The 21,908-nt window shown below is 41.8% G+C and overlaps 1 protein-coding gene across 56 annotated transcripts in view, besides 1 other annotated feature; it reads right to left on the bottom strand.

Moving 5' to 3' along the window:
• GAPVD1 (GTPase activating protein and VPS9 domains 1) overlaps positions 1–21,908 on the bottom strand; it is a 105,382-nt gene that overhangs the window by 6,287 nt on the left and 77,187 nt on the right. For 36 of the 56 annotated variants that reach the window (NR_148733.2, XM_047423183.1, XM_047423182.1 and 33 more), the window contains 10 exons: positions 19,657–19,744; positions 18,622–18,702; positions 13,980–14,102; positions 11,402–11,531; positions 10,517–10,626; positions 10,049–10,208; positions 6,080–6,267; positions 5,064–5,277; positions 1,429–1,501; positions 196–393 (listed from right to left, as the gene is read on the bottom strand). Coding sequence is in view for 54 of the 56 variants with exons in the window: in XM_047423183.1 (XP_047279139.1) it covers positions 196–393; positions 1,429–1,501; positions 5,064–5,277; positions 6,080–6,267; positions 10,049–10,208; positions 10,517–10,626; positions 11,402–11,531; positions 13,980–14,102; positions 18,622–18,702; positions 19,657–19,744 (1,365 nt within the window). In the remaining 2 variants the exon portion in view is untranslated. Of the gene's footprint in view, positions 1–195; positions 394–1,428; positions 1,502–5,063; positions 5,278–6,079; positions 6,268–10,048; positions 10,209–10,516; positions 10,627–11,401; positions 11,532–13,925; positions 14,103–18,621; positions 18,703–19,656; positions 19,745–21,908 lie in introns of all 56 variants that reach the window. The other 20 variants (NR_148732.2, XM_047423204.1, XM_047423205.1 and 17 more) reach the window with 2 other exon arrangements.
• Positions 7,901–8,074: a silencer, noted in NCBI's record as "fragment chr9:128115126-128115299 (GRCh37/hg19 assembly coordinates)". NCBI's record gives its function as "represses an EF-1alpha promoter that drives an FKBP-Casp9 reporter gene in an ReSE screen in phorbol 12-myristate 13-acetate-treated (for megakaryocytic differentiation) K562 erythroleukemia cells {active_cell/tissue: K562(+PMA)}" and the evidence as "EXISTENCE:reporter gene assay evidence [ECO:0000049][PMID:32094911]".

The following is a 21,908-nucleotide window of genomic DNA, read 5'->3' as shown; positions in this document are numbered from 1 at the left end:
TACTGCACTCCAGCCTGGGTGACAGAGTGAGATTCTGTCTCAAAAGAACAAATCTTGACATTAGGCACTTTCTTTCTGAGTAACCCAGAGCTTGTGACTTGGAAAAGAGCCAAGATATCTATGGTTGTGTGAAGCCCTGTGCCACCTGCTCAGAATGCCACATAACTCCTTAACTGATAGTAGTAAGGGGCCCACCTTTATCAACACAAACACCAACACAGGAACAAAGTCATCCGCTCCAGGGACAGAGTCCTCATTGGCCAGGCTCAGGAGGTTCATAATCGTAGAGCACATTCTCAGGATGCACTGCACTTTGTCCCGGGGGGTTTTATAAGCACTTATTGTCCTGATTTCTGATTGTGCAGATGGCCATGGTGCTTCTCGAAGATAAACCTAAGTGAGACCATAGACAATATACAGATTCTGAATCCAGTGGCAACCCTGCGCAGTGACTACTGCAACCTCCGTGTCAGGAGGCAGAGGATAATGTGGTTGCTTTTTCCTCTCTTTGGTAAAACCATATTGCAGGCCCCTTTCCCCTTCACTAAAGATTGTAACTTTAGAACTTTTAAATAAGTTGCTCTGAATTTTAAAATACAGCAAACCAGATATCCATTAATAGAAAAAGGGCATTCAACAGCACAGAAGCTAGAATTCACAAAATTTCAAACCATTCTCTTTCTTAAATAGCTAGAATGGAACTTCTCTACATTTAGTAGCTGATTCCAGAAGTACAAACTACTAAAAGAGGACTTTTCCTTAAAACTAGCTTAAACTGGCTCTACACAGGAACTAGATTTATCACATGTGATAAAAGAGGTTAATTTAAAAATATGTACCATTGTTGCAGTAATTCCAGAAATAACAGATTCAAAAAACTAAAGATAATTTAAAATTTTATGCTAATTCATGTCTCATTAGTGGGGGTTGTAACAAAAACAAACAGAAAGCTCAAATACCTGAAATTTTCATGTTTTCTTATTTTCTAAGAGATGTAGGACAGGTAAAAATGCTAATATCAATGACTAAAAGGTAATCTGAGATCACATGCAGACTCAATGACCTCTCCTGAGACAGCATATCTCACTCTTTGGAGTGCTATCAGCCTCCCACTTCTTCAAAACATTTCTGTAGAAACCTGACTATAAAAGCACTGATGGAGAGGTACTGCCCCTGAGAGCAGGGCTGACTTGAGAAGTGGCATCAAGGAAGGGCTCCTCACAACTGGCTTTCTACTATTTCATACCAGGGAATTTTAATCCCTGAAAGCATCTTCAGGAACTTCGCAGTTAGACTGAATTACATAGAGTGAAAATGATGTTTTATATTTTATCACATTTCAGTTCCTTGAACACGTGGTAACATTATATGGTATAATAACACGCAGCATTTAGTTAACATTACCCATGCTATATAAACCTGTATTACCTCTGGTATCTGAAGAGCTCTGTGATTTGCAGTCACTACTTTAGACAATCTCTGGATATGTTCATGAAGAACCCTGAAAACCCCCCAAAATACACATGTAAACATTCATTTCAGAAAATATGGTACACAAACAGTCATCATTGATTTTTACAAAACACGTGAAACATGTTGACTAGATATGGATTACAGCTAGATATGGATTACAGTTAGAGTTGAGCCTCTTAGATAAGTATTCTTTCTAATCTGCTCAGAAATGCTGAGTGAGCCAAGGGGATGCAGGGAGGGGAGGGAGTCTTTCCTCTCTGGACCAGACAGCACTGCAAGGAAGAAAGGAGAGGAGCCCTTGGTAGGAGCTGCTTGGACACATTATTTTGTAAGGTAGAGGAAAAGGAGAGGGGGGGAAAAAGTGAGAGGAAGTAGAAGGATCAAAAGCCAGAAACCAAAGATATTAATTACATGGAGAAGGGCCTCCACCATTCACCCAACCTTTCACTTTGTAGATGAAGAGAAGTAGGCTTAAAAAGGGAAAAGGCTTGCCTAAGCTACACAGGTGTCAGTAACAGGGGCTGAACCCAGCTTCCTGGCTGCTCGTGTTCCTTCCAATTCCTCTTTTGGCTTTCCACCCTCTATAAACCCCACAGAAATGCCACGGAGGGTGGGGAAAAATAATCTCCTTCAAAGTTGCTGTTTGTAGTCTATATGGTTTGAATGTCCCCATTCCTTATCCTATGCCTAAAGGCAAAAACTAGTGCTCTGGAGAGAAAACAGGCCCCATCTGGCATATTAAGCACAGAAGTCTGGGGTGGGCCAAACACTGTGAGACCATAAACAAATGAGGAAGGCAGATTGGAAGGATCCTAACCCACTTCACAGGAAAGTGAATTCTCTCAAATATCTATGCAACATCTGAAAATCTCCATGAAAAATATTTCATACAAACATAACCCACACCCCGAGGATCCTATTACACGGACCCCTGGGAGTCAGGCACAGTAAGCCACTGTCACTGTTAAGAAGCATGGTAACAACTTTAACATGGTTGAGGTCAGAAACAGGGTTATGAAGCAGTGCTCAAGAAAATACAGAAGGCCGGGCGGGGTGGCTCATGCCTGTAAACCCAGTACTTCAGGAGGCCAAGGTGGGTGGATCACTTGAGGTCAGGAGTTCGAGGCCAGCCTGAGCAACATGGTGAAAACCCATCTCTACTAAAAATACAAAAATTAGCTGGGCATGGTGCCATGTGCCTGTAATCCCAGCTACTCAGGAGGCTGAGGCAGGAGAACCACTTGAACTTGGGAGGTGGAGGTTGCAGTGAGCCAAGATTGCGCCATTGCACTCCAGCCTGGGTGACAGAGTGAGACTATCTCAAAAAAAGGAGAAAATACAGAGGAGGAAAAATAAAACTGCAAAATCTTCCCTAGTCTCTTTACCCAAAAATAATCGCTATTACTATTCCAGGTTAATTTTTCCCAAGATTAATTGTTTTGTGTGTGTGTGTGTGTGTGTTTTTTTTTTTTAAAGACAGAGCTTCGCTCTGTTGTCCAGGTTGGAGTGCAGTGGTGTGATCTTGGCTCTCTGCAACCTCTGCCTCCTGGGTTCAAGCAATCCTCCTGCTTCAGTCTCCCAAGTAGCTGGCATGACAGGTGTGAGCCATCATGCCTGGCTAATTTTTGTATTTTTAGTACAGACACAGTTTCACCATGTTGGCCAGGCTGGTCACCAACTCCTGAACCTCAGGTGATCCACCTGCCTCGGCCTCCCAAAGTGATGGGATTACAGGCATACGCCACTGCGCCCAGCCAGGATTAATATTTTTAAACAGCTTTATTGAGATATAACTCACAAGCCATACAATTCCAAGCATTTTCTGGTATTCAAATACTTAACTGTTCATTCTCTCTCTCTCATTTTTTTTAGACAGAGTCTCACTCTGTTGCCTAGGCTGGAGTGCAGTGGCGCGATCTCAGCTCACTGCAACCTCTGCCTCTTGTGTTCAAGTGATCCTCCCTATTCAGCCTCCTGAGCAGCTGGGACTATACACGCATGCCACCACACCCAGCTAATTTTTGTATTTTTAGTAGAGATGGGTTTTCACCATGCTGGCCAGGCTGGTCTCGAACTCCTGACCTCAGGTGATCCACCTGCCTTGGCCTCCCAAAGTGCTGCGATTACAAGTGTGAGCCATGAAGCCCGACCAACTGTTCATTCTTAATAAATATATAATGAGCATATATTAGAAGCCAACCACTGTGCCTGGTGCTGTTAGAATGGTTAATAAAAGCATTATTTCCTGGTCTCGCAGAGGGAATAAGGCAGTGTGGAGAGAACATTCATCAAAGGATCACACAAACCAGTGATTAAGAACAGGGGAGAGGCCAGGCATGGTGGCTCATGCCCTGTTATCCTAGCTCTTATCCCAGCACTTTGGGAGGCTGAAGCAGAAGGATCGCTTGTGTCTAGCAGTTTGAGACCAACCTCGGAAACACAGCAAGACCTCGTCTCTACAAAAAATAAACAAGGCTGAGCGCAACAGCTCATGCCTGTCATCTCAGCACTTTGGGAGGCCAAGACGAGCGGATCATCTGAGGTCAGAAGTTCGACACCAGCCTGGCCAACATGGTGAAACCCCATCTCTACTAAAAATACAAAAAAAATTAGCAGGGCATGGTGGCACATGCCTGTAGTCTCAGCTGCTTGGGAGGCTGAGGCAGGAGAATCGCTTAAGCCCAGGAGGCAGAGGCTGCAGTGAGCTGAGATCACGCCACTGCACTCCAGCCTAGGCAGCAGAGTGACACTCTGTCTAAATAAATAAATAAAAACAAAATCAGCCAGGTGTCATGGTGTGCACCTATAGTACCAGCAATTTGGGAGGAGGCCAAGGTAGGAGGATCACTTGTCACATAAGCCTGGGAGGTTGAGGCTTCAGTGAGCTGTGATCATGCCACTGCACTCCAGCCTGGGTGACATGGCAAGACCCTGTCTCAAAAGAAAAGAAAAAGAAAAAAAGAACAGGGGAGAATTTTGCCCCCACAAGGGACATTTGGGAATGTCTGAAGACATGTGGTTGTCACAACTGGTGGGGTATTACTGGCATCTTGTGTGTAGAGGTCAGGGATGCTCCTAAAGATCCTATAATGCACAGGACAGCCTCCCACATCATCAACAATCTGGCCCCAAATGTTAGTAGGGCTGGGTTCAGAAACCATGACTCAAACAGATGTCAAATGGCAACTGTGGCAAGTACTAAAGAAAGGCACCGAGGCCTGAGAGAGCCCTAACAGGATGTAACCTAGTCAGGACAGGCTTCATCAGGGAAACGATACTTAAGTCAAGACCTGAAGCATAAGTAAGACTTAATCACGAGAAGGAAGGGAAGATTAGTTAAGGCAGAGTAAACAGCAGTGCTTTCCAAAGAGGCTATACCAATTTCTACTCCTTCCAGCTTGACTGCCCACATCCCTGAAAACTGGGTATTATTCTTTGTGATCATGTAACTCTGACAGGTGAAAAATGGTAACCAATGAATTTCCTTTTACAATCAGACACTAAGTTACACGTATAGCTTGCCTAAAATATGGGCTACCTGGTAGATCCCTATGTAGTTCCACATAGGCACTCAACATAGAAGTACTTACTGGTCGCGAAGTATGTCCCCATCTTGATTAGGGTAGAAGGCGAGCTTGAAAATCCGGTTCATCACGCTTCGCTCAATGGCCAGCTGTGCATCTTGAAGCTGTTCTTCACTCGCGTTTTGCCATATGACATCCTGGGCCATTGCACCATAAAGAAACTGCAGAAAATCTTCTACCTGAGCAGTTTTATCGTCAGCTGCGGTGAGTTTCTGAAAGTCTCCAAAGCAAAATAATAATTTTTAAATAGTTTAATAAAAACTATCTAAATAATTTTAAAAAGGAAATCATAGAAATAATTTTAATCACTAGCTATGCAGACACCATGATCTTAAAGCCAAAAGTGTTTCAGTGTAGTTTATTTTAGGACAATATGTAGCCATATAATTAAATCAGGAGAAAAAGCAAGAAATATGTGAAAGTTTAAGTGCAAGGAATTTGTTATAAAAATATGTTTCTAGGCCAGGCACAGTGGCTCACGCCTGTAATCCCAGCACTTTGGGAAGCCGAGGTGGGCGGATCACGAGGTCAGGAGATTGAGACCATTCTGGCCAACATGGTGAAACCCCATCTCTACTAAAGATATGAAAATTAGCTGGGCGTGGTGGCACGTGCCTATAATCCCAGCTACTTGGGAGGCTGAGGCAGCTACCAGGGAGACAGAGGTTGCAGTGAGCCGAGATCACGCCACTGTACTCCAGCCTGGCGACAGAGCAAGACTCCGTCTCAAAAGTTTCTAAAAAAAATATGTTTGGCTTTTTAAAAAAAATGAGAAAATTTGTATAGATCCAAAAATTTACCAATGTCCCCAATTTAAAAAGTAAGCTACAGATATTCAATCCAGGAGAAAAATGCAATTTATTGGTTTGACATCAAAGTTTAATTTATTAAGATTCCATAAAATAATTGGGTATTTAAGGCATGCAGATACTTGAACAAACTAGCAAAACAAAACAGTATTTCTAAATCTTCCCAACAGTATTACAGGTGAAGAGATGCTTAAACTAAAGGTATTGAGTTACCTTGAATGAATTCCCTGATCTTCTTTTCTTTGCTCTCAAGCAGTAATCTCACACAGACAGTGGTAAAGTATCGATTGGCCACTTCTTTGTCCCGCAAAACTCTTTGCAATAGCCTTTCCAGGTGAGCCTGTGTGGTCTGTAGTCCTTGTCGACAACGAGTGAGATAAGCAATATATGGGGCTCTTTTTCTAAAAGGAAAAATACTTTGCATGACATCAGATATATTCAGTGCATACTCTCTTTGAAGAATAAGGGTCCTAACTTTTCTTTAGAAAAATTACTGCACAGACTGGTTTTACAAAGTAGCATGTCTGTGCTCTCTTCAGTAGCACATATACAAAGTAGCATGTCAGGCTGCAGACATGGTAGAGACTGATCATGGTGCCAGCTGCAGAACAGACACCCATTTTGCATTTTGTTTGGGAGGATCTATGGGGCTGAAGACTTAGTTACCTAATTCACTAAATGTTACTAAGCCCCTCTGCATACTTGGTGTATTTTATACTGGAGCTATAGGACCTCATACTTAATAGGAAATTGACAGCTACAGATGACCAACAATAACAACAAATACAGGTTATATGTCACTAGGTCACAAACATCCCCCACCAATTACTTGCTTATAGTCTAAATGTCACATTTACTAGAGTGCCCATTCCCTAAGCCTTGAAGCCTCCTCACTACCTAAGCATCTCAGTTACATTTTTCTCCATAATCATGAGCAGGGGACTGGCAGCAGAAAAAGCACAGCAATTCCTAAGGCTACTTACATCTGCTTCTCTGGTCCAGGAAAGTAGGCTTTCCTATCACCACTAAGAAAAGAAATATGATATTCTAGTTGTTCTAGCCTCAAAATATAGGCATACCTCTTTACCTGCTTTTGTGCAAAGCTGAAGTAAATTGCACTCTTCTATTTGGAACTGCTCATTTGTAACTACATTTCCAGAGTAAATATCCAAATATGTTGCTTAGAAATTGATATGATTTGGCTGTATTCCCCACCCACATCTCATCTTGAATTTCCATGTGTTGTGGGAGGGAATTGAATCATGGAGGCATGTCTTTCCTGTGCTGTTCTCGTGATACTAAGTCTCAAGAGATCTGATTGTTTTAAAAAACGGAATTTCCCTGCACAAGCTCTCTTCTCTTGTCTGCTGCCATGTGAAATGTGCCTTTCACTTTCCGCCATAATTTTGAGGCCTCCCCAGCCACATGGAACTGTTAAGTCCAATTAAACCTCTTTCTTTTGTTAAATTGCCCAGTCTCAGGTATGTCTTTATCAGCAGCATAATAACAGACAAATACAGTAAATTGGTACCGAGAGTGGGGTACTGCTAAAAAGACACCCGAAAATGTGAAAGCAGCTTTGGAACTGGGTAACAGGCAGAGGATGGAACAGTTTGGAGGGCTCAGAAGAAGACAGGAAAATGTGGGAAAGTATGGAACTTCCTAGAGATTTGTTGAATGGCTTTGACGAAAATGCTGACAGTGATATGAACGATAAGGTCCAGGCTGAGGTGGAGATGAGGAACTTGTTGGGAACTGGTGCAAAGGTGACTCTTGTTATGTTTTAGCAAAGACACTGGTGGCATTTTGCCCTTGCCCTAGAGATTTGTGGAACTTTGAACTTGAGAAAGATGATTTAGAGTATCTGGCAGAAGAAATTTCTAAGCAGCAAAGCATTCAAGAGGTGACTTGGGTGCTATTAAAGGTATTCATTTTTTTTTTTTTCTTGAGACAGAGTTTCACTCTTGTTGCCCAGCCTGGAGTGCAGTGGCGTGATCTCAGCTCACTGTAACCTCCGCTTCCAGGTTCAAGCGATTCTCCTGTCTCAGCCTCCCAAGTAGCTAGGATTACAGGAACCCACCACCATACCTAGCTAATTTTTTGTATTTTTAGGAGAGACAGAGTTTCACCATGTCAGCCAGGCTGGTCTTGAACTCCTGACCTCGGGTGATCCACCTGCCTTGGCCTCCCAAAGTGCTAGGATTACAGGCATGAGCTACCATGCTGGCCAGCATACAGTTTTATAAGGGAAACAGAGCATAAACGTTCAGAAACTTTGCAGCCTGACAATGCGATAGAAAACAAAATCCCATTTTCTGAGAAGAAATTCACGCTGGCTATAGAAATTTGCATAAGTAATGAGGAGCTGAATATTAATTCCCAAGACAATGGGGAAAATGTCTCCAGGGCATGTCAGAGGTCTCCATGGCAGACCCTCTCATCACAGGCCCAGAGGCCTAGGAGGAAAAATGGTTTCATGGGCCAGGCCCAGGGTCCCCATGCTGTGTGCAGCCTAGGGACTTGGTGCCCTGCCCTCCGGCCGCTCTAGCCATGGCTGAAAGGGGCCAACACAGAGCTCAGGCTGTGGCTTCAGAGAGTGCAAGCCCCAAGCCTCGGCAGATTCCATGAGGTGTTGAGCCTGTGGGTGCACAGAAGTCAAGAATGGGGTTTGGGAACCTCCACCTAGATTTCAAAAGATGTATAGAAACGCCTGGATGCCCAGGCAGAAGTTTGCCGCAGGGGCAGGGTCCTCATGGGGAACCTCTGCAAGGGCAGTGCGGAAAGGAAATGTGGGATCGGAGCCCCCACAAAGAGTCCCTACTGGGGCACTGCCTAGTAGAGCTGTGAGAAGAGAGCCACTGTCTTCCAGAATTCAGAATGGCAGATCCACTGACAGTTTGCACCGTGCACCTAGAAAAGCCAGCAACTCCACACCAGCCCATGAAAGCAGCCAGAAAAGTGGCTATACCCTGCAAAGCCACAGGAGCGGAGCTGCCTAAGACCATGGGAACCCTGGCTGGGTGTGGTGGCTGACACCTGTAATCCCAGCACTTTGGGAGGCTGAGTTAGGTGGATCACTTGAGGTCAGGAGTTCAAGACCAGCCTGGCTAATATGGTGACATCCCATCTCTACTAAAAAATACAAAATTAGCCAGGCGTGGTGGCGCATGCCTGTAATCCCAGCTACTTGGGAGGCTGAGGCAGGGGAACTGCTTGAACCCAGGAGGCAGAGGTTGCAGTGAGCCAAGATCGCACCATTGCACTCCAGCCTGGGCAACAAGAGCGAAATTCCATCTCGGGGGAAAAAAAAAAAAGAAAGACCATGGGAACCCACCTCTTGCATCAGCGTGACCTGGATGTGAGCCACGGAGTCAAAGGAGTTCATTTTGAAGCTTTAAGATTTGACTGCCCTGCTGGATTTCAGACTTGGATGGGGCCTGTAGCCCCTTTGTTTCTGCCAATTTTTCTCATTTGGAATGGCTGTATTTACCCAATGCCTGCACCTCCATTGTATCTAGGAAGTAACTAACTTGATTTTGATTTTACAGGTTCATAGGCAGAAAGGACTTGCCTTGTCTCAGATGAAATTTTTGACTGTGGACTTTTGAGTTAATGCTAAAATGAGTTAAGACTTTGGGCAACTGTTGGGAAGGCATGATTGGTTTTGAAATGTGAGAACATGAGTTGGGAGAAGCAAGGGGCAGAAAGATATGGTTTGGCTGTGTCCCCACCCGAATCTCATCTTGAATTCCCATGTGTTGTGGGAGGGACCCAGTGGGAGGTAATTGAATCAATGGGGACAGGTCTTTCCTGTGCTGTTCTCGTGATAGTGAATAAGTCTCACAAGATCTGATGGTTTTGAAAAAGGGGGGTTTCCCTGAACAAGTTCTCTTCTCTTGTCTGCTGCCATGTGAGATGTGCCTTTCACCTTCCGCCATGATTGTGAGGCCTCCCAGCCACATGGAACTGTAAGTCCAATAAACCTCTTCTTTGGTAAATTGGCTAGTCTCGGGTATATCTTTATCAGCAGCGTGAGAACAGACTAACACAGAAATCTACATCCAGGAAAATACAGCCAAGCACTTTGTAGGAAGCCTAGATTCATTTCTGAAATAAGGATAAAAAAGAAAACACTTGCAGCTAACAACTAGGTTTAAAAGCTGAACAGGTGGGGTATATTACCTGTAGTCCTCAGCAATCGAAGCCAGCAGTTTCCTACAAGTCCTATTATCAAAACGGCACACACAGCGCATTGTTTCTTGAAGTTGAGCCATTAGATTCTTATCTTGTAAATTAATTGCTTCAGCTATTTGAACTTTTAAGAAGCATACAATTTCATTGTCTAAATAAAAGATACAAGAATTCTGTTATTCTTGAGAATTTCCATGTGCTTAAATAAGCTAATTCAGCATTTGGGACGTCAATTCTGCTTTGTCACGTATCATTAGAACTAAGCTGTATTGCCACTCCCAATTAGAAAATACTTTAATAAATCATCAGTAATCAAAGTGCCCTTAAGTGATACTAATGTAAACATATTAAGTTGAACCATATGGAATTGCTGTACAGCTTCAACAGCTGAATACTGGCAATTTCATATGGTGCAACCCATAAACATAGGAAAAATTAAACGATCCTGCAGCAATTTACCTTCTGGGTCTGTGTGGTCTGGTAAACCATTCCTTGTTGAATGGGTCAGCACTGGGAAGGCAACAGAGTCCGCAGAGCAAAGAGCAAGCCTCAGTTTCTTTTTTGCATCTCTGAAAAATGAGTAGAAAATACATTAATTTCTTTATCCAGATATGGTCACATTTTACAAATATTTACTATATAAATTAATGTTACCTTAGGACTCAAATGTTTCAAACATTTTAAAGAAGATGATTCTTAACTGACACTCCACTTAAAAGAACAGGCTTTCTAATTACCCAAGGAGCCAGGTGTGCTCGGGGCAAGGACCATTCTTTAAAGCACCAGAATCAAACAACAAATCCTTTCTGACCTTTTTTCATACACTGAGTTCCATGACGGGTGCTATAAGAATCGGAAAAGCATATTATGGCAGAGTGGGAGGGACCACGGAAGTCAGAAGCTCCCAACACCCAGATTTGGAATGCCTTCTGGCACATCTCTTTAGAAACGCTGATGACGCCACAAAATAAGCTCACTACCTGACAAGAAACCCTTTCTTCTTTTTTTTTTTTTCCTTTTTCTTTTTTATAGAGATGGGATTTTGCTATGTTGCCCAAGCTGGTCTCCAACTCCTGGGCTCCAGCGATCCACCTGTCTTGGCCTCCTAAAGTGCTGGGATTACAGGCGTGAGCCACCACGCCCAGCGAGTTTTTTAAATCCTTGAATTAACACCTTTGATACATAACATCTACAACTGAAACAAAGTCTTCTTAGTAAACAGCATTTCATTTTTCTCTCCCTGCTTTATACATTTATTGACTCAAAACATCACTTGACTTGACGTGACTGCAATGGTGCTGAAAAGTCCAAACCCTAAAGTCCCAAATCCTATAAAAGAAATACCTGTAAGAGAAAGCTGAATCCTGCGGGTGGGCTGCTTGGCTTGCAGAGTCTGGGAGATCATCAGCCGAGATGTTCTGCAGTGCTTCGTCACGGGGAGAATCATGTGCACTTTCACCATCACCCATAACCTCTAAACAAAACCCACCCCCAAGAAACGGATACCCAGGTTCATTTGGAATATTATGGCACTAGTAGGTATTCAGAGCAACTCAAGAATAAATTACCATTGACTAATAATAAGAGTTCTCTGGAAAAAAAAGAAAGAAAAAACAAACTTCAAATACTTAACTGAATTATCAATAGCAACAATTATGTATCAAGAGACTAGTTGCTGAGAAGAGAGTGGTTTTACTTCTTATCCCAATACTAATGCAAAACAATGAACTAATGCAAAATAATGAAAGTTCACATTAACTTAATAAAGTTAACATCTTAGAATCACTGAACCAGAGAACTAAAAGAGGCTTCAAAAATCATTTTATACCCTCATTTTATAGACATGGACTCCTGCCCAGTCAGAAAATGGCTTGCTCTAAATTTCTTGGTTGGCCAATGGCCAAGGTTGACTATGGGTTAAGGTCTCCTGATTCTCTCTACTGGAGGTCTTCCTGCTACACCCAAGAGTGAGTCAAGGGACCAAATCACACATGCAACAAAGTCAGATCTGTGGTTTCCAAAGTTGGTTTTATGTCTTAATCAAGAATACACGGCTGGGTGCGGTGCCTCACACCTGTAATCCCAGCACTTTGGGAGGCTTTGGTGGGTGGATCACATGAGGTCAGGAGTTCAAGACCAGCCTGAAAAACATGGTGAAACCCTGTCTCTATGAAAAATACAAAAATCAGCCACGTATGGTGGCACACACCTGTGGTCCAGCTACTCGGGAGGTCGAGGCAGGAGAGTTGCTTAAACTCGGGAGGTGGAGGTTGCAGTGAGCCAAGATTGCACCACTGTACTCCAACCTGGGCAACAAAGTAAGACTCCATCTCGAAAAAAACCACACACACAAAAGAACATATAATACAACACATACATGTATACAATCAAAACGAATAAAAAGTTTGGACAGGCATGAGGCAGGAAGATCGCTTGAGCTCAGGATTTCAAGACCAGCCTGGGCAACATAGTGAGACCTCACCTCTACAAAAAAATATATAAATATAATAAATATATTGTGTTCATATATGAAAATATCCTTATTCTTCGGAAATAATTTCAAATGCTTCAGGAAAAAATATAGGGAGAGACCAGCCTGGGCAACATGGCGAAGCCCCATCTCTACAAAAATATACAAAAGTTAGCTGGGCACAGTGGAACGTGCTTGTGGTCCCAGCTACTCAGGAAGCTGAGATGGGAGGATCACTTTAGCCTGGGAAGGTTGAGGCTGCAGCAGTAAACCATGATTGTGCCACTGCACTCCAGCCTGGGTGACATAGTGAGACTGTCTCACAAAAAAACAAAAACAAAAACAAAACATATATATATACACACACACACACTCTCTATATATGGCGGAACGTGGCAAAATGTCAAGAATTGATAAGTCTAGATAGAGGGTAGATGAACCTTCATTGTATTATTCTTTCAATTCTTCTGCTATTTGGAAACTATTCAAAATAAAAAAATACAGGAAGTTCTCCTTTCTGCCCACTCTCCCTCTGAGGCTTCCTAGGAGTCTTCCTCAGAGCCAACTCATGTGACCAGTTTGTTGGGAGATTCTTCCAGGAGATACTCTACGTGCATATAAGCATAAACACATATTTATGCAGTATACTATTTATGTTTGTTTTTTTTTTTTTGAGACAGGGTCTTGCTCTTTTGCCCAGACTGGAGTGCAGTAAGCGTCATCTCAGCTCACTGCAACCTCCGCCTCCTGGGATCAAGCAATTCTTATGCCTCAACCATCTGAGGATTACAGGCATCTGCCACCACTTGCAGCTAATTTTTTGTATCTTTGGTAGAGATGGGGTTTTGCCACATTGGCCAGGCTGGTCTCAAACTCCTGGCCTCAAGTGATCTGCCCACCTCGGCCCCCCAAAGTGCTGGGATTACAGGTGTGAGCCACCGTGCTCAGCCCCTATTTATACTTTTATACACTTTTTCTCTTCATTTATCTTGGGGACTATATCTCATTTTTCTGAAAGCTATTCAGTATTCTATTATGAGGAAAACAGAATCCTTTAAAATAAGTACCAGGTGACAATGGATAACTTGTCCCTTTTGGGACAAGTTGCTCCCACAGCTATATTGAGAGTGCATAACTGGATAAAATTACAAAGCTGTAGACATTGAAAAAGAACCTCCTCCCATTAAAATATGCCCCAACTCTCTGTGGGCCAGTCACCCCAGATGCAAAGGAGGACAACTCTAAGGCATTTGAACATTCAGGGGTACCCAGGGCTAGTGGGAGAATCCAGAGAAGGACATCAATTTAAACATTTGTTTAGGCAGTCTGTAATTTTGAGGTAGTAAACTGACTCCCTTAGCTATTCTTTCTTTTAAAGGCCACTTAAATTCAGATTACCTTTATCACTATGATATAAAAGTTTACTACTCAAATCTCTGTCATGATTATCACCTGTACTTTCATAGTTTGCCATTGCTCCATCACTGGGGCTGGTCCGTTTAATGGCATTCCTGTATTTGTCCAGAATATCCTCAGCCACCTGAGCTTGTGCACTGAGTCTAGGGCTGGGATCATCTGCAAGGGAAAGGAGAGTGAGAGAATTAGCCCCTTGGGTTTGTACCACCTCTGATGTTAGTATGACACCAGTAGCATAATCCCAAAGGCAGATTAGGAGGTAAGACTTAAAAAGAGCACATATCTCAATGTTAAGAGGCACCATGCAGCTGCCTACTCATCCCATTTCTAGGTCTGAGAGCCTTGCCAAAGCAGGAAATTGGGAAGAGTAGCTCCACCTTCTCATCATCACCAGAATGACAGTGTCAAAGTTCAGGGCAGACTGAATGGATGACGGATTTCTAAAGTGTTTGCACTCAAATCACTGTTATCAGCAATTCATGCTAACAGAACTTCCAACAGTGCATTTTTACATGCAGACTTCATTTATTCAGACATCTCTATGCTGAAGGAGGAAAAAAAACTATTCAAATTTAGACTTAAACCCCTTTAAATAATAACAAATGTCTTTTTCCATTCTTCCTTTATGAATCTCTCTCCACGCATTTGAAAACTAACAATATTCATATTCTATCTCACTAGATCTCACCATGACAGTGCTGCTGCTGGAATAGAGCACTTTTGTGCATGCAATGATGTCAGAGGCACTCCTAGAGAATCTAGACATTCTTGGGGAGTGCTGGAATTGTACCTGAGATGCATAGAGAAAAAACGTACCACAATCACAAATGCAGCACTGTTTACTGACAGGACCATTACTCTGTCAAAATCAGCACATCAAAAATATTATCCTGGAATCTAAAATAGTAGTCAACTGGGTTGTTAAAGCAAGGGATTGCTATAGATCTACAGGACAAAGTTCCATAGTGAAACACAAACTCCTGGGTTAGTCCTAGGCCAGGCAGGTGACCATAAATGTTCACATTCTGGTAGAATCCCATTTTCTAAAAATTATACAAACACATCGAAATCACTAGATTTTATATATATATATACACACACACACACACACTTATGTGTATATATACATATACGTATTTTGTGTGTGTGTGTTGTGTTTCCAGCAGCTAATAGCAGCTAACATTTATTGAGCACTTACCACATGCCAGGAACTGTGCTAAGTACCTTACAGAGATTATCTCAACTACTGATCAAACAACCTTACAGAGAAACGTTGTTATCATCCTCATTTTACAGAAGACGAAATCAAGACATAGACAGCTTAAGTAGCATGCTCATCGGCTCTTCTTTTGTTCTCATGAAACAAACACATGGTATTCATGTCTCCGTGAAATTGTAGTAAACTGCAGTTGACCCTTGAACAACATGGGTTTGAACTGCACAGGTCCATTTATACACAGTTTTTTGCAATCAAATGCAGATTGAAGATACTGTATTAGGCTGGGCACGGTGGCTCACGCCTGTAATCCTAGCACTTTGGAGGCCGATGCGGGCAGATCACCCACGGTCAGGAGTTCGAGACCAGCCTGGCCAACATGGCGAAACCCCAACTCTACTAAAAATACAAAAATTAGCTGGACATGGTGGCGCATGCCTATAATCCCAGCTACTCGGGAGGCTGAGGCAGAAGAATCACTTGAACCCAGGAGATAGAGATTGCAGTGAGCTGAGATCGCGCCACTGCACTCCATCCTGGGCAGCAGGGCAAGATACTGTCTCAAAAGAAAAAAAAAAAAAAGAGAGAGAGAAAAGAAAAAGAAAACACTACATTTCACACAGAGCTGTGAAACAAGCATATAGGGAAGGCCAACTTTTCACATACACAGTTTCCACAGGGCCAACTGCAGGACTCCAGTATGCACGGATTAGGGTATGAAGTGGGGGGGCAAGAGTCCTGGAACCAATTCCCTGAGTATGCTGAAGGACAATTGTATATAGACAGGATTCCCAAAGTAATTTAGTATTTTTGCTATAACAGTATTTGAATTCATAAGAGATTCTTAATAAAATCTGATCTGTCTCCAAATGTAAACTGATAAAGCATTTATCATTACAGAATCTTGTTTTGAAGGGGAAGTACGTTGTGGCTACTGCCTTTTTTTTTTTTTTTAATAGAAACAAGGTCTTGCTCTGTCACCCAGGCTGGAGTGCAGTGGCACATAGCTTAATGTAACCCCAAACTCTTGGCCTCCAGCAATCCTCTCACTTTGGCCTCCCAAAAAGAGCTGGGATAATAGGCATGCTCCACCTCACTCAGTTGGTTATTACTTTTCAGTGCTGTTGAGAGGTCTGAAAAAGGGACAATACAATACATTATGGCCAAACACAGTGAGAGCCACAATGTTGCTTATAATCTTTATTTCTATTAACACTGTTCTTAAAAATTTTACCCCCAGAGAATAATTAAACAAAAAATGCAATTTATATAAATCTGTAATATTTTCATAATAAAAAATTGGGAACAATTTAAATAGCCATTAGTAAGAGAACGTTTACACTGCAGTAAAACCATGACAGATTATTTTATAGCTAATAAAAATGATATAAAACCCAACTATGTCTAAAAATTGGGGGAGGTTTTATAAAATAACTTGGTAAAAGAAGAATACAAAGTCACATGCATAATCTAATTCAGTCAAGAAAAAGCCACGTACAAATATGGAAAAAGATTAGGAGATAACAGGAAAAGAACAGTAGTTAGGGTCACAGAATTATGAACAGACTGCTAGGAAATTTCCTCCTATAACATTTTTAAATTGGTTTAATGAAAACTTTCAATGAGTCATTAATAAGGACTGGGTAGAAATTTCTGGACCAGTAAGGAAGCTAATCTGCTTGAATCACAGCCAAAGAAAATAAATTACTTTATGAAAAAGACTTATTCTACTCTACTTAGCTTCTAGTTCCAGTATCAAGAACCAAGAAAAATATATTGCCTAAAGAGGATAAGTAAAATATAACTCCTTCAAACAAACAAACCATAATAATAATTTATAACTTCTTCAGAATTGTTGATTCAACATTTTAAAAACATGAGATGTCATTAAGAGTAATTCACTTTGTAAACGCTAGTGTTCTTCTAACATTAGGAACATGTCGTAAGGATACAGAAATACTTTGCCAAAAGGACAATGTCTTTCCAGCTCTTCCCAATCAGACTGGAAGGTCCTGAAGAGTCATGTGTGATTTGACTTAATACCCACAACACTTAGCACAGTGCCTGGCATGAGTCACATGGTCAACAAGTATTTACTGATTGAATAGGACAGGCTTAGCTGCTCTCAGCAGGGAACTGTGGCCTGTAAGCACATCTCCTGCTGTTCAAAACCCTTTATTCTGGGGAAATCACCATTTCAAATAAAGCAAGGACTTATATGCTAGGATATGGAAATACATATAAATATATGGAACCAACCATTAGAATAATAGGCATTAAAATGGGATTCTACCTGTAATGCTGAACTCTTTGATGAGGATGTTCTTATCCTATTATCTATCCCATTTTTAAATAAAATTGTTTAATGAAAAAAATTTTCACTTTAACTTAGTAGGAAAACAATTCAAAATCAAAAAAAAGAGGTGAGAAATGAACTTTCCTCTAGACCAGGGGTGTTCAATCTTTTAGCTTCCCTGGGCCACACTGGAAGAAGAAGAATTGTCTTGGGCCACACATAAAATACACTAACACTAATGATAGCTGATGAGCTTAAAAAAAAAAAAAAAGGGTTCCTGCATAAATCTCATACTGTTTTAAGTTTATGAACTTGTGTTGGGCTGCATTCGAAGCTGTCCTGCTGTCTTGGGCTGCCTGTGGTCTGCGGTCCGTGGGTTGAACAAACTTGCTCAAGATGCTCTATAATAGCCACTGGAAACAATACACAGCTATCAAACCCAAGACTGGGTCATTAACACTACTCTCAAACTGTCCTTTTAGGGTGCTCATTCATAATGTGCCAAAAAGCAGCTGCAGAAATACAAACGCTTAATCAGGTAAAAACCCAACCCCCAGCTGTATTTTCCTTGGGTCAGATGGCAATGTTAAAATGGTTCAAGCTGTAAAAAATTAGTAAAGTTTTTAAAACTTTCATTATAATGGTTGGCATTTATGATACTGTTTGAACAAACACTTTATCACAAAAAAGGAAACGATTAGGTAAAACAGAATTTCACTGTGATCCTGAATAATCAAGAACAAACTGTAGATGAAAATAAATGTAGAATTCTACGATCAATGTTAGAGAAAACTATTCAATCAATGATCCAAAGATACAGCATGCACAGCACCAAAACTGTCACCACACTTTCCTAAAAGGCACTGTGTGTCATCATCCCACTAGATGTTGAGTTGTAGGGTATGCCTAGAGGCTCAGGATCAGGGGCCTCATCATAAACGGAGTTATGATAATGAGGATGATGATGGTGGTGGCAGTCTGCAGGAAGAGCACACAGGTTTACTGTGGCCACCAACTGGAAACCACAGAGCTATGAAGAACATACTCCCCACTGTACACACAGACACACTCTTCTAGAAAGGCAACGCTTATGGCACCCAAGAAAAAGTGTTATGAAATATGTGCTCTGGGAATGAAGGAGCCAGGAAGTCCATGGGTCTACAAACCTGTGAGTGTTGAGAATCTGTCAGGCCCCAGATCATCTTTGTCTTTTTCTTGTTTTTCTTTCTTTCTAAATGGTATAGGAGCTGGAAATTAAATAAAGTCAGTAGTGTGACATATAACATACTGCACTACTCGGAAGTTAACTGGTGTGCCAACATTTCTAAGTGAAAGGAGGCTGAAAAGTTTAAAAGCTAAGAAATTCCAAGTGTTGACTGATAATTGTCCTTAAAATAGTAATGAAGGTTTTTAAAGGAACTTTCAGAACCTGCTTCGGAGTCATCTGTCATAGGAAGAATAATTTAACAGGAATCCATTGGGACTAAAATCAAAACCACTGACTCTTAACCTCTGCTCAAAAACACATTCAAAACTCCTAGCTTCATTCTCTCCTCCTCATCAAGCGCTTGAGTATGGCGTGAAAGCAGCTCTCCCCAGAGTTCCTGAGTGCCACCGTGCTGAGAAGAGGCCTTTGGAATAAGTTTCTAGCTTTACTCCTGGATGCTCTCTTCTTTCAGGAAGAGATGCTTTTGCCAACTCAAATGATGCCAGGCTGTTCACCAAAAAAGTAAACAATTTTATACAGCTACCTTCCAAAATAAACACTCACTGATATTTACAGTATAAACATTCTCAATGAACATAGACATAAAAAGCTTCAACTTATTCCAGGAATGTAAAGGATGAGTTTTCAATGTTTAATTACCAATAACGTCCCATTTTCCTGCAATAATTAATAGCAATATATATGTCAGAAGTCCTCTATATGTTTAACTTCAATGGTATATGATATTTAAACAATAGTGACAGGCATGACTTCCATTTATGAAACCACTATCACTTCCTGCAAAGAACAAGAACATTTCTAAAGCTCTGCCTTAGCATTCATCTGAGTGGAACCACTTTCTACACCCTCAAAGTAGCTAGAAACTTAAGCCCAGCAAGTCTTACAGAGGAGTTGAGACATTGGCTCTCTGAAAGAGATTCTGGGGCTTTGCTTCTTATTGCTAATACAGCGTTCTAATATTTTATAAAATTACCTTTAGGCATGGCTGAAACAAAACGTTTTCTCCACCAAGGTCTGTTCCTGTCTGATTTCTCATCATCGCTATCTTTGCGTTCTTCAGTCTGTAGAAAAAGTTGGAGGCTTTATTTGGAGTTGGATAGCAGGATAAATTACTAAGAAAAGGATTTCTTTTTGTTTGTTTTTGTTTTGTTTTGAGATAGGATCTCATTCTGTTGCCCAGGCTGGAGTGCAGTAGCACAATCACAGCTCACTGCAGCCTCGACTTCCCTGGCTCAAGCGATCCTCCCCGTATCAGCCTCCCAAGTAGCTAGGACCACAGGTGTACACACCACCATGCCCAGCTAATTTTTTATTTTTATTTTGTAGGGACAGGGTCTTACTATGTTGCTCAGGCTAAAAAGGATTTAAGTAAGTTTGTGAAATAAGAAAGTCAGTCTTGTTTGCCTTAAGGCACAACTCTTATTGCCACGTAGGTGACTTTTGGAGCACGGTAGTTTACCTTTTCAGCACCACTGTCATCTGCTTGAGGGCAGGCACTATCTCATTACTGTTAATAAACTGAAGCCTTAATACAGAGCCTGGTATAGACTAGGCACTCAATAAATACTTATGAAAAAAGTAAATGCAGTACAAATAAACTCCAGAAGGGCAGTAGAGATGGTAGCAGTAGTATTAATAATAATAAAACCAAATGTGTACTATGTGCCAAATGCTGAGCATAGTAAGGATATGTATAATCTCATTTAATCTTTACAGTAACCTCAGAGATAGGTCCTATATTCGGCCTTTTTTATCGATAAAAAATATGAGACTAAAGAAAGGTTACCTCCCCCTCTTCCTCAAAGTTACACAGCCTATATGTGGCACAGCTGAGGACTCAAACCTAGACCTAAGCAACTTTAAAGTTCATGTTTTGATCACCAATTATATTAAGTTATCATTAACACATGACAAAGAAGCTGGATGCAGTGGCTCACGCCTGTAATCCCAGCACTTTGGAAGGCCGAGGTGGGTGGATCACCTGAAGTCAGGAGCTCAAGAACAGCCCGGCCAACAAGGTGAAACCTCATCTCTACTAAAAATACAAAAATTGGCCGGGCGTGGTGGTGCTCGCCTATAATCCCAGCAACTTGGGAGGCTGAGGCAGGAGAATCACTTGAACCCGGGAGGTGGAGGTTGCGGTGACCCGAGATCGCACCACTGCACTCCAGCCTGGGCGACAGAGTGAGACTCCATCTCAAAAACAAACAAACAAACAAAAAACAGGCCAAAGGACAGGGACTGTAATTCCTTTAATAGCCTATCATGTGACCATGGACAAATCACTTAATTTCCATTTTCATCTACATACCTGGGATAAAGAATTATCAGAACCCTAGCAGAGAGATGAGGGCATCTGTGCCAGGGAAGAGTTAACTTAACAGTGGGGATGAGAAATTGAATACATACAGGAGAACTGATGGAATAAATATGCCCATGAAGAATAGTGAAAGTAGATTTCTCACTGTTGGAGAAATGAGTTACAAATTTGGAAAGGAAGAAAGACGAAACAAACTCTGTTGTGTTTGGACTAGAATTGAATGTGTCAGTGTAAGTTCATGGTCTTATTTATGGAGAAAGGTAGATAAATGAAATATACAGGTAAATGTGTGTGTAACACACACACTCCCTAGCTCTATTCACTGAGTAGTCCTGGGAGCAGCAACACTCCTACAGCAAATAAACACTGTATCCAGATCTCAATTTCCAAAAAAGCATTTTTCATTAAAAGAAATAAGGGTACTTCGAGAAAGAGCTAACTAGGACAAAGTACAGTATCCGCCTATAACATCTTTTGCCAGAAAGTAAAGATATGCTCAAAGAATAGTAGCAGTGCATCAAAAGAACTCAGGAGCCAGCCTGAAGGGGCTCTCATTGGCCCAATTAGGGACAACTGGGCTTCAAAATAAGTAATAGTGACAAACCCTAACCAAGACAGAAAACTGGGCCAGGCACTGTGGGTGGCTCACGCCTGTAATCCCAACACTTGGGAGGCTGGGGTGGGAGGACTGTTTGAGCCCAAGAGTTCAAGATAAGCACCTGGGCAACACAGTGAGTCCCCATCTCTACAAAAACAAACAAACGAAAAAATTAGCCAGGCATGTGGTGCATGCCTATACTCCCAACTACTTGGGAGGCCAAAGCGGGAGGATTGCCTGAGCCTGGGAGGTTAAGGCTGCAATGAGCAGTGTTGGCACCACTGCACTCCAGCATGGGTGATAAAAC

Source organism: Homo sapiens, chromosome 9, assembly GCF_000001405.40.
Source record: "Homo sapiens chromosome 9, GRCh38.p14 Primary Assembly".
Taxonomy (NCBI): domain Eukaryota; kingdom Metazoa; phylum Chordata; class Mammalia; order Primates; family Hominidae; genus Homo; species Homo sapiens.
Note: the sequence above shows the minus strand (reverse complement) of the source record. Positions and strands in the feature narration are given on the sequence as shown.